Below are 17,929 nucleotides of genomic sequence, written 5' to 3'. Positions count from 1 at the left end.
AGATCGAGACACAACACTCCAGCCTGGGTGACAGAGTGAGTGACACTCGGTCTCAAAAAAAAAAAAAAAAAGCCACTTAGAATCCCACTGTATATAAATTATTACCAGCAGAAGTAAGTGGACTTTGCTTTTTCTTTCCTACAAGCCTGGCTTACAAGAAGGTATTGATAAAGAGGTTTCAAAAAACTGAAACAGAGTCAGTTAACATAAAAGTACTTAAAATTAAATAAAGCTGCTCCACTCCAAAATATTAAGAACATGGCACATTAACTTCTGAAAAACTGCATAATTTTCCCTTTAAAAATTATTTTTCTGAACAAACTTAATTTGGCAAAAGAGCACGAAAAACTTTTTTTGTGGAGAAAGCAGCTATTCCTACAACAGCATCATTAGGAAAGAGAGAGACAAAGGAACATTTTTATAACTAGAGATGTAATTATATTAAATTTGTTCATTAGAAGAAAATTAACAATGTGCTTACGTAACAGAAACTTTAACCACAGCAAAGAAAATGTTCCTGATCTATTTGCTCGATGGGGAAGAAGGCTTATTAAAAACAGAGAAAAACTTGCACGACAAACAATATTTTTTAGAAGAAAAGCAGCTTCGTTCAATCCAAGGTATGTACACTGGTGAAATTTGATTCACAAAGTGCTATTATCCAACAAAGGTCCTGTTTTAAATCGATAAAGAAAAATAGTCTGACATGAGGACAGAAAAAACCCATTCTGAAATTGTGTCTAAACAGACTTTTCTATAGATTTAAATACCTATTTAAATCACTTGTGATTTTTCTAAAATAAATGTTCATGTTTTATTGATTTAGCGAATCTGTTTCTATCGACTATACAACAGTACCTGGTGCATTGGTCTTTGTATTTCTCAATACAATCAATTATACCTAGTATAGTTGAATTCATTATAATATACATTGAGTATTAATAAAATACTAATTAAAAATTATGTTTAAAAAAGTAAGCCTTGCCTAACCTGTTTGTTTACATTTGAAGTCTTTACACTGAAGTCTTCACTTAGTGAAGACACACTAAGTGTTGCATGTGTGAAGATTCTATTGGTTCCTGCTGATTTTTTAATTTTTTAAATTAAAAACACAATTTTTAGAGACAAGGTCTCACTCTGTCACCCAGATTGGAGCACAGTGGTACGATCACAGCTCACTGCAGCCTTGAACTCCCCAGCTCAAGCAATCCTCCTGCCTTAGCCTCCTGAGTAGCTAGGACTACGGGCATGCACCACCACACCTAGCTAATTTTTAAAAAAATTTTTGTAGAGATGGGTTCTCGCTATGTAGTCCAGGTTTATCACAAACTCTTGGACTCATGGAATCCTCCCACCTTGGCCTCCTATGTAGCTGGGATTACAGGTGTCAGCCACCACTCCTGGCTTTCCCCTTATTTTCCCCCTTCTCTGTCATTGCTCCAGTTGATGCATCATGAGATGGAGGGGAGGACAATCAGCAATGGATCCAGAGATGGTAGCTGCCATCCTGTTGCTGCTGCTAACTAGCTGTCAACATTTGGACATGTCACCCAGTCTTTGCAGGTCCCTGTTTCTACAGCTGTACAATAAAAAGGCTCCTATCATGTCTAAAACCCTGTGATGTTTATGCTTCTATAATCTGATGCTTTTTCTCTGAATCTACCTGGAGCTAAGGAGATGGAATCAATGTAAATGTCCATCAACGATGACTGGATAAAAACAATGTGCTATCTATCTATCTATCTATCTATCTATCTATCTATCTATCTATCTACACCACGCATTGTGTGTACACACACACACACACACACACACACACACACACACACACCATGGAATACTACTCAGCCATAAAAAAGAATGGGCTCATGTCTTTTGCAGCAACATGGATGAAACTGGAGGACACTTCATCCATGTTGCTGCAGAAGACATGTAAACAATGTGCTTACATAACAGGAACTTTACCACAGCAAAGAAAATGTTCCCTAGTGAAATGATTCAGAAACAAAAGTAAAAAATCTCATGTTCTCACTTATAAGGGAGAGATATACAATGAGTACACACAGACAGACAGAGTGGAATAACAGACATTGAAGACTATTGAAGATGGGAGTGTGGGAAGGGGTGAAGGAGAAAATACTACTTATTGGGTAGAATGTATATTATTTGGATGATGGGGGCAATGGGTACACTAAAAGTGCAGACTTCATGACACAAAATATTCATGTAACACAACCACACTTGTACTCCTAAATCCATAAAAATAAAAATAAGCAACTGCTAATCTCTTCCACAAACACCCTCACAGACACACTCAGTAATAATGCTTTACTAGTTATCTGGGCATTCCTTAGCTCAGTCAAGTTGATGCATGAAATTAACCATCACAACATACAATGCAATATTATTCTTACAGTATTATTCTTGCAATATTGTTAACCTTACAAAATGAAGAAATATTGCAATATGCAATACACAGATGAACTTTAAAATACTATGTTGAGGCCAGGCATGGTACTTCACACCTGTAATCCCAGCACTTTGTGAGGCCGAGGTGGGTGGATCACTTGAGGCCAGGAGTTCGAGACCAGCCTGGTTAACATGGTGAAATCCTGTCTCTACTAACAACAACAACAAAAAGTGTGTGTTTGTGTGTGTGTGCATGTTTGTATTTAAAAGGCCTTCGTGTTTTGTTGTTTTGTTTTTCTCTCCTAAGAACTTGTCTTTTTTTTTTTTTTTGAGCAAATCTTTGGTTTTTGGGGGGGTTCTGGCCAGAGTTCAGAAATCTAGTTAAAAGATAGATAGTCCTTATCTAAACAAAATTGGTGTCCTTATGCAATCACATAATAGATATGTGTAATTTTACGTTTGATCTGCTCAAAGAAAAATAAAAGGATCTCCCTCTAGCAACACCAGATCTTTTCTCTCTCTGCCTTATGATGTAAATTTGCTGTTTGATTTTTACTTGAGTGGTTTCCTTTAACATGCAATTTTAAGGCTATTTAGCTGACAACCACCTAAGGTTGTAAAACAGGTTATCAAGAATCTGAAAGTCTAAGATAGAAAAAAAAAAAGGATGGTCTTTATGGATCTACAAAATGTACTTTCATTCGCATACCTAATGCATCTATGTATTTATGCGTTGTGTACACAATGTTTCACTACTAAAAATATATAAAAGAGCTCTAATTAATTGGCTTAAAGAAAAATAAAAACACTTAAATACTTTATCAGGAAAAAAGGACTAGTCAAATGCTTTTTCAAGTTTATATAACTTAAAACCTTTAATAAATAAGTTAGCTTTAAAATTATTGGTAAGTAATATTAGAAATTTCTTAAGAATTGTCAGCATGCATTGTTTGCATTTATTAATTAAGCAATGTCATACTTATCCCTGCCAAATACTATAAGGTGTCAAATTTTGGCATAGGGGTTACAAAACTAAAAACCCAGCCCAAAACAGAACGACCTTTGCTTGTGTAATTTTTAATAAATAAGACATTGATATTGGTTTAATGAAAATAGCTACATCTTTAATTATTTAGTAAAATTACCATAACTTCTAATCTCGTGGCTTTAGGCAGTCTAGTCCACAGGCAGTAAGGAGGTTTGTTTTGGGAAAGGACTGTTATCATCTCTGTTTCAAAGCTAATCTATAAACTAAGTTCCTCCCAAAGTTAGTTTGACCTATGCCCAGGAATGAACAAGGACAGCCTGGAGGTTCAGAGCAAGATGGAGTCAGTTAGGTCAAATCTTTTTTCACTGTCTCAGTTATAATTTTGCAATGGGGGTTTTATAACTTTAAATCATAACTATCACAGTTTTCATAAATAATCTAGGTAAACAAAATAAAATAGATAAATGTAATAGGATAAATACTTGTAGTTAAATTGGTCATAATTTAGAATATAAAGTTATATTAAATTAAATAATAGGTATTTCTTTATTTGGGTATTTTCCAATAAATATATATTGTAGAAAAACATTCTTGTTAAAAACAAAGTGAACATGTTTTGTCTAATTCAAAGCTTATCTAAAGGTTATGTATAAAACAAGGTAAAAGGAACCAGAAAATAAAAAGAGCACATTCACATACACAAGTGTGTAATAACCAACATTGGATATCTCTGCTAGGACTTCAATTTCCTTTAATTTCCCTATGTTTTTCAGAAGACTAATTTTTATTTGAGACAGGGTCTCAGTGTTTCCCAGGCTAGAATGCAGTGGCATGATCACAGCTCACTGCAGCCTCAACCTTCTGGACTCAAGCAATCCTCCCACCCAAGTAGCTGAGACCATAGGCACAAGCCACTGTGTCTGTCTGGCCAATTTTTAAAAAATTTTTGTAAAGATGGGATCTTGTCATGTTGCCCAGGCTGGTCCTGAACTCCTGGGCTCATGATTCTCCCACTTTAGCCCCTCAAAGTGCTGAGATTACAGGCGTGAACCAATGGACCCGGCTAACTAAATATTTTTCAAACAGTTTTTCTGAAGAAGGTTCAAGGTTTCAAACACAAGTGCATACCACAGACCAAGGCAACTGGAATTAATGTTACCTTGGTGTAAGCTCCTCATCCCTGTTAGTTTAGCAAATGTACAGACTTGGGATACATTTGAGTGCCATCATAGGCAGGATACCTCTGTTGCAATTTTGGTTTTAACCTCTCTAATGAGATCCAGAAGGCCCATTATGTGTAATATGTGTGCTCTCCCTGAGGCAAGATATAAATGGTGCTCACCATAAAGTTACCATGTGGAAGGAGCCATTTCTCTCTTGCTCAGATCTAAGACCTCTACCCAACCTCCAAATCCAAATGCTTTGCTATGAACCACTCATCACAGCTTACCTAATATTTTCATTTATTTACAAGGTACCAAATTTGATGGAGAGGACTGTGTCCCATAGCGGTCCTAAACAATCTGGGGAGTCTGAAAACATTCCTCTCTGGCATGTTAAGAGGCCACCATATTTGGAGAGTTCTTGGCACTGTAGAACAGTGGACAAATGGTTCATGATGGTGGGATTTGAAGAAAAGGTTGAGAAGGCTATGTTTAAATGATCTCTTCATTGGTAATAGTGAATTATAGAAGGATTTTGTAAGAAAAAAAACACGTCTAGAAACATATATTGAAACTTTTGTACTTAACAGAGGGTGAGCCTAAGACTTCTTCTTTCTCCTGTAAAAGGATCAGATTCAAGAACAATAAACTCTCCATGAGGATGAGGATAGTCTTTACATCCTCCAAGTGCCTAAAGGATGCTCAAGTTTGAAGTCATGGGTTAGGTCACAGATTTCAGAGGTAGAGTGTTCTAAAGAAGCCAAGGTTCCCAGAGACTGCCTTAAGAATGACAGTGAGCTAAGAGGCCAGAGCTGCCTCTGACTGGAGTGTCAATTTTCCCTCCTTGTCCAACATCTACTCTCCCATATAGTCTCTGTCCCAGCCCTACAGCTCCACCACCCTTTTATTTGCTCTGTCCCTCTATTTCCTTTCCTGTTAAACCAAGAGAAGTCCCTTTCCTTGCATGTCGGCAACAGAGTCAGTCAGTCAGTCTGGACTTAGGAGGAAATGATGGTGGATGTCTGGGACATGCAGGAAAGGAGCTCTGGGCAGAATTCAGTCTCCTGTGAGAGTTCTTTGAGGACCAGTAGTGGAGAAAATAATAAAGTGTTATTCTGCCCCCTGAGGGCATCTCTGTGCACAGAGTTTTTCCAGGGACCTCACAGGAAGCTTTGGTCATGATAGGTTTTGTATATTTGCATTTTCCAGGATCCCCTGGATGAAACGCCATAGAGCATTCCCATCTTATCTGACTTTCCAGCATTTGGTAACCAGGGGTTATGTTACAGGGGAAATCAGGCAGAACAAAACCATGGGCAGCAGATGTAAAAGGAGAGAAAATAAAATACACACAAGTTTGAGGAGAAGAAAAAGCAAGGGATTTGGGGATGGCATGAAGTGCTTCCACACATTTAATATATATCAGCATCTGCGCTGTCAATATCAGAGGGCCTCTGGGATTTAACAACCAGATGAGGAAACAAGACAAAGATAGCTCAAACCATCTTGGCTCAGCTGCTCTGTGGATGAGCATTTTCCAGGATCAGTGGATGGCCAGGCTGTTGTTATTCTTACCTCCCACTGCAGCAAGCTAGTTAACCCTCTGTGTTAAAGAGGTATTTCATAGACATGGTAATCAGCCCGGGCATCTGACATAGGAAGACAGCGATGGGAGGCCCTAACCTGTACACTGAGCTCCTTCCCCTGAACAAGCTGTCTCATAATTGCTGCTCTTTTTTCAGGGATCATAAATTGGTGCATACAGCTGTGATTATCTATAAATAAAAAGATGTAGAGGAATTTTGTAAAAATTGCTTTGGTAATTAGATGACCAGCAGGTGACCTGCGCAGGTGGAAATGTAAACTAGTACAGCCATTATAAAAAACCGTATGGAGACTTCTCAAAAAACTAAAACTAGAACTGCCATATGATCCAGCAAGCCCACTAATGAGTATTTATCTAAAGGGAAATATATCAATGTGCCAAAGGAAGACCTGCTATATTAGTCCATTTTCTTACTGCTGTAAGAAATATCTTTGTGAGGTCGAGGCAGGCAGATCACTTGAGGTCAGGAGTTCAAGACCAGCCTGGCCAACATGGTGAAACCCCATCTCTACTAAAAATACAAAAACTAGCCAGGCATGCTGGCACATGCCTATAATCCCAGCTGCTTGGGAGGCTGAGGCAGGAGAATTGCTTGAACCCTGGAGGCAGAGGTTGCAGTGAGCCAAGATCGCGCCATTACACTCCAGCCTGGGCGAAGAAGTGAGACTCCATCTCAAAAAAAAAAAAAAAAAAAAGAAAAAAAGAAATATCTGAGACCAAGTACTTTATAAAGGAAAGAGGTTTAACTGGCTCACAGTTCCACATGGCTGGGGAGGTCTCAGGAAAGTCACAATCATGGCGGAAGGTGATGGCGAAGGAGAGACCTTCTTTGCATGGCGACAGGAGAGAGAAGTGCAGAACGAAGTGGGGGGAAGCCCCTTATAAAACCATCAGATCTTGTGAGAACTCAGTCACTACGATGAGAACAGCATGGGGGGACCACCCCCATGATCCGGTCACCTCCCATGAGGTCCCTCTCCCAACATGTGGGGATTATAATTTGGATTACAATTCAAGATGAGATTTGTGGTGGGGACACAGCCAAACCATACCACCTGCACTCCCTTTTTTACTACATCACTATTCACAATAGTGCTTCTACCCAGTGGAACCAGCCTTCCCAATCGCAGGGTCTCCAGACCTGGGCTGTCTGCAGCAAAAGCAGATACATTCTTCTCATGCCCCTGTTCAAGGTAGGAAACTGCTCGCCTGCTATATCTACCAAATTGGTATAAGTAAAGGTGAAAATAAATTTTAATGGAAACCTTGCCAGCCTCTTCCCCTTGGCTAAAAGATATCAGAGACAAACTAAGGCATAAGAATACCCAAATTGCAACAGAACAAAATGCATGTCACTCTGCCTTCTCTAAACCCATTCTCTATTTCTCAAGGTGGTTAAAAAAAATAAAGGGGATAAAGTCCTATAAGTGCCTTTTGCTAACGCTAATGCACTGTATAAAGGTTTCGCTAGCCCTAATGCAGTGTATAAATGCACCATCCCTCCCTCCTCACTCATGCACCTGCAGCTGGTGCCTGCTTTTGGGGACGACTCCATTTCCCCCAGAGCTTCTGATTCACGCTGCTTCTACCAAACTCCTGGCCCCTGGGCCTTAATTTGTTACCCCAGATGTGGTCAAGTTTTCCTAAAAATTTCCACTTACCCTCACTGTTGCTCTTTGCCATAGGATCCTAATAGGACCCTATGCCATAGCACCCTAATAGAACAACCCAGAAAGCAAAAGCTGACAATTAGCCTCTGTCTACTCAAGACATATGTGGCCAGTTGAAAATGTTTACAGAAAAAAACAAATTTAAAGTTATAGGCTATGAAAAGAGCAGTCAGCTTTAACTGCTAATTGTCATGGGTGAGTGGCGACTATCTGCGGTCGGTGGTGCAGGAATAAAAAGAATTTACCAAGACAGTTGTAGGTTAAGAAAAAAAAAAAAAAAAAGCAGATTTATTAGAGAGAGTATGAAAATACGTTGCAAGCGTGCAACAGGCAGGTCAGTGAGAGAAGAGCTGACTGCAAAGAGACAAAGACTTGCTGGGGATTTTATAGGATGGTGCTTGTGCTGTGTGCTGAAGAGGGCTTTGTGCAGTACCGATAATGCCAAGGTTGCAGTGAGATAACTTGCAATTTTCTATCAGCCAAGGGTCTGGAGATAGCTGGGTGTAGGCAGACTGTGAGTTATTTGCACAGGAGGGCTATCTGTTCTGGAGCATGAAGAAAGGGAGACTTATAACTTACCTGCCTTCTCTTTCTACTTTCCCTCCATCCCCCTAGCCTGACCTCTCTCCCTAATTAGGACTCCACACTAATTAAGACGTGGAAAGCCAAAGGGACCAGTGAACACACATTGACAAGGTAAAGAAGCCATGAAGCCTTGAACTCATAGTTTCTTTTTAAATTATTATAAAACCACGTAATATCAACTTCACCGTTTAAAGCACTTTAAGTGTACAACTCAGTGGCATTTAGTACATCAATTTAATTGTACAACAATGTTGTACAACTGTCAGGTGTATCTCATTCCAGAACATTTTCATCACCCCTAAACGGAGATCCCTGTGCCTGTCAGTGGTCACTCCTCATTCCTCTCTCCCAGCTCCTGAGAACCACTAATTAGCTTTCTCTCTACGGATCTGCCTATTCTGGACATTTCATATGAATGGAATCATGCACCATGTCTGGGTTGCTTTCACTTTAGGAAAATCATGAATAATGCCACTATGAGCATTCACACCTGTTTTCAATTCTTTTGGGTACATACCTAAGAGTGGAATGGCTGGGTCATATGGAAAATAATCAGGCCTTTTGTATCTGGCTTCTGTCACTTAGCATGATGTTTTCTAGGCTCACCCACCTGATAATATCGGCATAAACATACTACAGTGTTACCAAAAGTACTTTGTTCCTTTTATGCCTAATATGGTTAGGCTTTGTGTCCCCACCCATATCTCATCTTGAATTATAATCCCCAGGTGTTGAGGGAGAGACTTGGTGGGAGGTGATTGGATCATAAGGGCAGTTTCCCCCATGCTGTTCTTGTGATAGTGAGCTCTCATGAGATCTCATGGTTTTGTAAGGGGCTCTTCCTCCTTCACTTGCTCTTCTCTCATCTGCCACCATGTAAGATGTGCCTGCTTCCCCTTCTGCCATGATTGTAAGTTTCCTGAGGCCTTCCCAGCCATGCGGAACTGTGAGTCAATTAAACCTCTTTCCTTTATAAATTATCCAGTCTCAGGTATTTCTTTATAGCAGTGTGAGAGTGGACCAATACAATGCCCACATAATATTGCATTGCATGGCTGTGCCACATTTTATTTATCCATTCCTCAGCTGACACATGTCTGGGTTGCTTTCACTTTAGGGAAATCATGAATAATGCCGCTATGAACATTCACACCCATTTTCAATTCTTTTGGGTACATACCTAGGAGTGGAATGGCTGGGTCATATGGAAATTCTAGGTTTAAATTATGAAGGAACTACCAGAATGTTTTCTAGAGTGGTTGAACCACTTCACATTCCCAACAGTGATTTATGAGGCTTCCAATTAAAATCATGGCTTTTTAAGATCCATCAAAAAGCTGAGGATGGACCTGGTGGTGGCTCATGTCTGTAATCCCAGCACTTTGGGGGGCCAAAGCGAGAGGACTGCTTGAGGCCAGGAGTTTGAGACCAGCCTGCGCAACATAGAAAGACCCCATCTCTACAAATAAATAAATAAATAAATAAATTAGCCAGGCATGGTGGCACATGCCTGTAGTCCCAGCTACTCAGAAGGCTGAGGTCGGAGGATCTCTTGAGCCCCGGGGTGCAAGGCTGCAGTGAACCATGATCACACCAGTGCACTGCAGCCTGGGCAACACAGCAAAACCCTGTCCCCCCGCCCCCCGACAAAAAAAAGGCTGAAGATGCAGAAAAAACATAAATGAACTAGAATCCAGGATGTGATGAACCTTCCTACAAAGAAGAAACCTTCAGTTGCTTTCACCCCTGGTAGCAGGAGTAGGGAGAAGAGGAAGAATCCAGCTGACCCTGAAAGGAGTTTTTAACGACTGGGTGTAGGTAGGCTGGCACGGCAGATCAGCATCCTGATGAGGTCCAGCCAGACAGCCCACCTGCAGCCAACCCTTCAATGCACTCCTGCAGTCTTCATGAAGCCCCCTGGGGAATCGTACACCACACAGTGCAAAAAAAACTCAGAGTGAGGCAGTGCAGGGAAGCTCAGATGCACCCCTCCAAGGCACTCCAAATCTTCCCCATGGGCAGCCACACACCTGTCCCTGTTCCCCAGCTAGGATGGGAATTTGGAATGACCAAATCCAGGGCAAGACAGAAAACAAAGAGGACCCTTCAAAAACCCAACAAGTGAGCAGTCAGGCTGCAAACAGAGCATGACTTAAGAGTCTCACCAATGCTCAGATCCTAAGCTCTGCTAAAGGGAAAGTGTGGATCCCCTCTCAAAGCATCTGAAGCCAAGGGGGTGAGCGGAACCTAATTAAAACCAAACAAATCACAACCACACTGAAATGGCAGCTTACCAAGGGGCCACACAGATGAAGCGTGTGATGTTTTCTAGGCGAAAATATGACTGACTCGGTCTCCACTATTTTTTATAATCAATGTCTATTATGCATGCATATTTATGTTTGCACGTATGACATGTGAAATAGCAGGAGGTATGCAAATGTTAGATATTTCATCTATATCCTTTAAGACATCCATAGGAAATCCATAAAAGAATCTAGCAGGAAAGGCAAACAGCATGTGTTAAGAGATGGGGAATTTCAGTGGCAAGATGAAAATACAAAAGAAGAAACAAACAGAAATGCTAGCTATAAAACAAAATAGATGTAACATCAGAAATAAGAAGTTCATGTCATGGGCAAAGAAAAGAATCAGAGACCTTGAAGACAGGTCAAGAAAATTATCCAAATTAAAATGTAAAGAGTAAAAGGTAAAATGAAGCAACTATTTCTATTCATCAAAAGATACTTTTAAGAATGTGAATAGGCTTCAGGCCATAGAAGCAAAAACAGACAAGTGGGACTACGTCAAACTAACAAGCTTCTGTGCAGCAAAGGAAATAATGGAGTGAAAAGGCAACCTATGGAAGGGGAGAAAGTATTTCCAAACCATATACTGATAACCATATATCCCAAATATATAATGAACTCCCAAACTCAATAACAAAACTACAAATAACCCAATTAAAAAATGGCCAAAGGACTTCACTAGACATTTCTCCGAAGAACACATACAAATGCCAAGAAGCACATGAAAAGATGCTCAACATCACCAATCATCAGGAAAATGCAACTCAAACCCACACACAATGAGAGATCACTCCACACCTGTCAGAACAGCTGCTCTTAAAAAAACAAAAAACAAGAGACAAGTGTTAGTGGGGATGTGGAGAATTTCTTTGCACATGGCTGGTGGAAATGCAAAAAGGTGCTGTTGCTACGAAAAACAGTACAGAATTTCCTTGACAAATTAAAAAATGGAACTACCTTGTGATCTAGCAACCCCACTCCTGGAAATATACCCAACAGCATTGAAATCAGGATCTCAAAGACATATCTGCACTCCTCTGCTCACTGCAGTACTATTCACCATAGCCAAGATATGGAAGCAACCTAAATGCCCATCAACAAATGAATGGATTAAAAACAAAAAAAAACATGGTCTATACATACAATGGAATACTATGCAGCCTTAAAAGGAAGGATATTCTACAATATGCAACAGCATGGATGAACCTTGAGAACCTTATGTTAAGTGAAATAAGCCAGGTACAGAAAGACAAATTCTGTATGATTCCACTTACAGGAGGTATCTAAAGTAGCTAAATTCATACGACCAAAAAGTAAAGTGGTGGTTTCCAGGGGATAGGGGAAGGGAAAATGGGGATTTATGAGTCAGCAGGCATAAAACTTTAGGTAAGCAAGATGGATTAAGTCCAGAGACCTGCAGTCAAACATTGTATCAGCAGTCGACAATACTGTATTGCACACTTAAAATTTTAAGAGGTTAGATCTGATAGTATTCTTATCACTATCAAATAAAAACATTTTTTAAACATATTGCATGGAACAATGACAATGGCAAATACTAAGGTCACCGTTCATTATTTCACATCTTTATGTCTATTCTAAGACTTTTGCTTGGAAACTTGGCCTAATAATATGTGCTTTCCTTAATAACTATGTGCTTGGAAACTTTCCTTAATAATACAAATATCCATGTTTTTTATTCCAAACTCTCAAACTAGCATATTGTCTCATCAGATAGCAAAATAAAGCTTGCTTTTATAAAAAAAAAAAAAAACAACGATTTGAACAAGGCTAATAGAGTAACTAGAACTGAACAATGGCTATAGAAAGGTTTTAATTTACTTTTTGGGGAATGATTGGTTTTTTTAGATGCTTCTAATTTATCATCAAGTGAAGAGAGTGGGACTATTGAGAGGATACATGAGATAAAATAATTCAAAGTAACATTCAATTTTTTAAAAATTAAGGAAAAAGGAATATAGATAAGCAACATAGACCAGGGAAACTTATTTGTAAGACAATTATTTTTTAAAGGATTTATATCCAGAATATGTAAAGAACAAATCAATAATAAAAAAGGAATGAAACAATGAAATGGGTAAAACAATTGAATATGCACTTTATACAAGAAGATATACAAAAGGCTAATAAGCAAATAAATAGGTATTCAGCCTGATTAGTAATCAGAGAAGTGAAAATTACCACCATGAGATAGCATTTTACAACCCCTACGGTGGCTAAAATAAAAACAAAACAAAACAACGAAAAACGGAAAATATCAAATGCTAGTGAAGATGCAGAACAAGTGGAACTCTAAGTTTTTTTCTTGAGACAGGGTCATGCTCTGTCACCCAGGCTGGAGTGCAGTAGCACGAACAAAGCTCACTGCAGCATTGACCTCCTGGGTTGAAGCAATCCTCCCAACCTCAGCCTCCCAAGTAGTTAGGACTAGAGGCAAATTAGCCACCACCCTGGCTAATTTTTTTATTTTTGTAGAGATGAGGTCTTACCATGTTGCCCAGGCTGGTCTCAAACTCCTGGGCTCAAGCAATCCTTCCACCTCAGCCTCTCAAAGTGCTGGGATTGCAGGCATGAGCCACCGTTCCTGGCCCCTAGAACTCTTATATATCACTTGTTGAAGTGTAAACTCATGCAAACGTTTTAGAGAAAAGTTTGGCCATTTCCTATACAATTGAATATACATGTATCTTACTGTCAAGCAATTACACTACTCGATGTTTAAACAAGAGAAATAAAACTATCTATCCACCCAAAGCCTTAGTCACAATAACCAAAAACTGGAGACAATCCAAATAACTATCAACAGGAGAATGCATAAACAAACTCTGGAACATCAATCTAACCTAAGACTACTCAGCCATGAAAATAAATGAACCACTGATACATGCAACAACACATAAGAATCTCACACACATTATGTTGAGTGAAAGAGGTGAGACCCCAAATAATCTATATGGCTTGAATCCATTCATATGCAGTCCAAGAAAAGGCAAAAATTGTCTGTGGTGATAGAACTCTGAAAAGTGTTTGTCTCTGGCTGGGGTATTGATTAGAGAGGGGCAACAGGAACGTTCTGAGATGATAATGGACATGCTCTATATATTTTGTTTGGGACAGTGATTATATGTTTGTATAAAATTATCAAAACTTAAACGGAACATTGAAGATCTGTGCATTTTACTGTAGGAAAATTATATCTCATAAAAATATACTAAAAATAAGAAAAGAGAAAAAGAAGAGAATTGGCTTTCTTATCTATAAAATGAAGTCATGGGCTACATCCAACATTCTCCTCTAGCTTTTACATTCCGGGATGCATCTAGGACTTCATGGTGACAGAGTTTGTTTCCTTAAAAAGATAATAAATATAAAACACTTTAGAAATATGCAGAAAGAAGTTAACATAGAGGACCTGAGATTGCTCTCCTTAGAAAGGCCTGCTTGTAACATGTGCTCTTGGTTGGCAATTGGGAATTAGATTTGGGGAGGGTTCTCACCCTTCCCAGAATTAACAAGAATGGCTCACTCTGCCTGAAATGCTTGTACAAACAACATAGTTTATGCTGAACACCTGCTTCCTGTCTGGGAGTCTGCAATTTTGGTAGTACTAGGCAAAGGGCACCTATATGAACAGCTCCCAATAAAAAACCTGGGCACTGAGTCTCTAACCAGCTTCCCTTGTAGGCAACACTTCATATGTGTTGACAGCTCACTGCTGGAGGAGTTAAGTATGTCCCGTGTGACTCCTTTCAGAGACATACCTGGAAGCTTATGCCTGGATTCTGCCAGCCTTTACCCCATGTGCCGTTTCCCTTTGTTCAATGTGTTCTGAATTTTTTTGCTGAAATACATCTTAGCCATGAGCCCCACTATGCACTGAGCCTGTTAGTCCTTCTGGTGAATCGCTGAACCTGGGGACCTCCAGCACAAGAAACAACATCAGACCATTCTGGCTTCGGGGTTCTCACTGTCTCCTCCCACACATTTTCTATTATTGAATCCGAGCTACATTCAGTCCAGTGAGCCAAAATGCATTTATATAAAGGTTGATTCATAGCTGGGAGTCACATTAACCAGAGGGTATGAACACAGGGACAATTGCTGTCATCTCACCTCCTGGAACAGTTCTAGACCTCAGCCTACTGTTTTAAAGTTTAATCGGCTTCCCAATGAGGACCCCAGCTGTTCTTACACCTTAGCCAGAGGCTTTGAAAGACATCTTCCATAGCCCACTGGTGAAACTGCAAGTGCCATGCAGAGAAAATTACAGGGAAGAGAGAATTCAGCCAAGGAAGCCAGAAAGAGCAAAATAAAGTTGGAAGCAAGAGAAATGTTCCACCAAGTAGGAAACATCAACCTTCAAATGGGGAAGGCTTTGAGAACCACAGACGATTAGACCCAGAAGGTTCTATGAGACCTCATGGGTGGTGAATACCCTTATTTTACAGATTGTCTTAGTCTATTTGGGCTGCTATCGTGGAATGCAACAGATTGGGTAGCTTATAAGCAACAGAAATTTATTGTCACAGCTCTGCAGGCTGGAAGTCCAAGACTAAGGTATTGCAGATTCTGTGCTGGTGAGGACCTGCTTCCTGTTTCATAGACAGTGCCTTCTCCCCATGTTCTCATATGGTGGAAGGAATGAGGGAGCTCTCTGGGGTCTCTTTTATATGGGTACTAATCCCATTTTTCAGGACAAACCCCTCATGATTAATCACATTCCAAAGGCCCCTCATCCAAATACCATCATCTTGGGGGTTAGAATTAAAATATATGAATTTGGGGGGGAAATAAACAGTCAGTCCATTGCACAAGTGAAGGGACTGAAGTCCAGGGAGGTTAAATGCTTAACTCTAATGACAGCCATAAAATTGGTATGAGGAGGGACTAACCCTACCCCTGTGCTTAGTGCTACTGGTTGATGAATTATCCAGTGCTTTGAAACCATTACATTTTAATTCCTGCTCAAGTCAGAACTTGGCTAGTATAAAATAATGTCCAGGACACCTACTTTTCTCATTGAAGAACTGAGAGCTTTAAGTGAAAAGATCAGATCATAAAGTCAACTCGTCCCCTTTTCAAATATTGGCTTTATCACTCCAAGCTTCCATGTCCCATTATCTCCATTTTTAAAAGAGATGAAGTGCACCCAACTTCCAAGGCAGATGGGAGGTGTTTAGTGAATGATATTCCACTCTTTTCCTTTCTCCTTCTCTTTCAACTAACTCTCGCCAATGCCTCTCCTTGGGTCACAGTGATGTTTCATGTCTCAGAATATTTCCATGATGAGGAAAGTGAAAAAAAAATGAATGTCTATGTAGTCTATGTCTTCTGCTGGTTTCCATAAACTTAAAAAAATATATCTAATTCACTCTTGGCTTTACTTCATGACCAAGTCCTCAAAAGCAAATGCAACAAAAACAAAATTAGGTAAACAGGACTTAAACTAAAAAGCTTCTGCACAGCAAAAGAAACAATCAACAGAGTAAATAGACAACCTACAGAATGGAAAAAAAATTGCAAACTATGCATCTGACAAAGTGCTAATATCTAGAATCCACAAGGAACTCAAACAACTCAATGAGAAAAAAAAACAAAAACAAATAACCCCATTAAAAAGGAGTCAAATGACACAAACAGACATTTTCCAAAAGAAGACATATAAGCACCCAACAAACATATGAAAACAAAAATGTGCAAGACCACTAATCATCGGAGAAATGCAAATCAAAACCACAATGAGGTACCATCTTCCACCATCAGAAGGGCTATATTAAAAAGTCTAAAAACAACAGATGTTGTCAAGAATGCAGAGAAAATGGAACACTTACACACTGTTGGTGGGAATGTAAATTAATATAACCTCTATGGAAAACGGTATGGAGATTTCTCAAAGAATTAAATAGAACTACCATTTGATCCAGCAATCCCACTACCGGGTATGAACCCAAAGGGAAAGACATCATTGTATTAAAAAGATACCTGCACTTGTACATTAATCTCAGCACTAGTCACAATACCAAAGATATGGAATCAACCTAAGTGTCCATCAACAGAGGATTGGATAAAAAAAAGTGGTATATATATATTCCGTGGAATACTTCTCAGTCATATAAAAGAATGAATTCATGTCTTTTGCAACAAAATGGAGGGAACTAAAGGTCATTATCATTACTGAAATAACTCAGAAAGTCAAATACTGCATATTGTCACTTATAAGTGGGTGCTAAATAATGGATAGACATGGATATACTAATTGGAATAATAGACATTGGAGAGTATAAAAGGTGGGCAGTGAGATAGGAGTGAGGGTTGAAAAATTACTTAATGGGTACAAAGTTCACTATTTGGATGATGGGTACACTAAAAGTCCAGACTACTGCTACACAATATATCCCTGTAACAAAATTATACTTGTACCCCCTAAATATATAAAAATAAATAAATGCCTAAAAAGCAATAGGAAAAAATACAGATAATGAATGCTATCTCTTAGACATAAATTCCTATAGGGCCATTTAATATTAATTGAATATTTAGGGCAGTAGTTTCTGTTCTGAGATGGAAAACATTGCAAAGTCTAGATAGAGCAAAAAACTTAATGATGATAGTTGTCTTTAAACATAATTTTGAAAAAGACTGAAAACATCTTTTTTTTTTTTTTTTTTTTTTTGCAGCTGAGGGCATCCTTTCTCACAAATAGCTGTTTTTGTGCTCAATCCCACTGGGGAGGGGTCCTAATTGAAGACTGTCTTTTATAAAGCAGAGATGCCCTTGACACAGATTTTCATATGTTAAGTTTGCTTAGGCTTCAAGCTTATTGTTACTTGCAGACAGACAGTTATGGCAACAATAAACCAACAAGATCCAAATTCAAACAACATGATTACACAATTCTACTTAATTAGCCAATGACAATTCCTTGTTTATTAAAATGGTTCTTGCATTGGTCTGTTTGGCTGTTATGCCAAAGTACGATAGACGAAGTGGCTTATAAACAACAGAAATATATTGCTCACAGTCCTGGAACAACACATCTGTTCTTGGAAGTGCAAGAACAAGGCACCAAGAGATCCAGTATTTAGTGAGGACTTGCTTCCTGGTTCATAGATGGTGCCTTCCTGATGTGTCCTCACATGGTGGAACAAGCAAGGGGACTCTCTGGGGCCTCTTTTATA

The 17,929-nt window shown here is 39.2% G+C and overlaps 1 protein-coding gene across 4 annotated transcripts in view, besides 1 other annotated feature; it reads right to left on the bottom strand.

The window, feature by feature from the left end:
- Window positions 1-17,929, bottom strand: part of STS (steroid sulfatase) — a 207,352-nt gene that overhangs the window by 114,689 nt on the left and 74,734 nt on the right. The gene's annotated exons all lie outside the window — the stretch shown is intronic.
- Window positions 2,645-3,269: an enhancer, noted in NCBI's record as "OCT4-NANOG hESC enhancer chrX:7154725-7155349 (GRCh37/hg19 assembly coordinates)". NCBI's record gives its function as "activates a minimal SCP1, AML or CMV promoter by ChIP-STARR-seq in naive H9 embryonic stem cells {active_cell/tissue: H9 hESC(naive)}" and the evidence as "EXISTENCE:reporter gene assay evidence [ECO:0000049][PMID:30033119]".

Source organism: Homo sapiens, chromosome X (genome assembly GCF_000001405.40).
Source record: "Homo sapiens chromosome X, GRCh38.p14 Primary Assembly".
NCBI lineage: Eukaryota > Metazoa > Chordata > Mammalia > Primates > Hominidae > Homo > Homo sapiens.
This window is presented reverse-complemented; position numbering and strand designations above follow the sequence as displayed.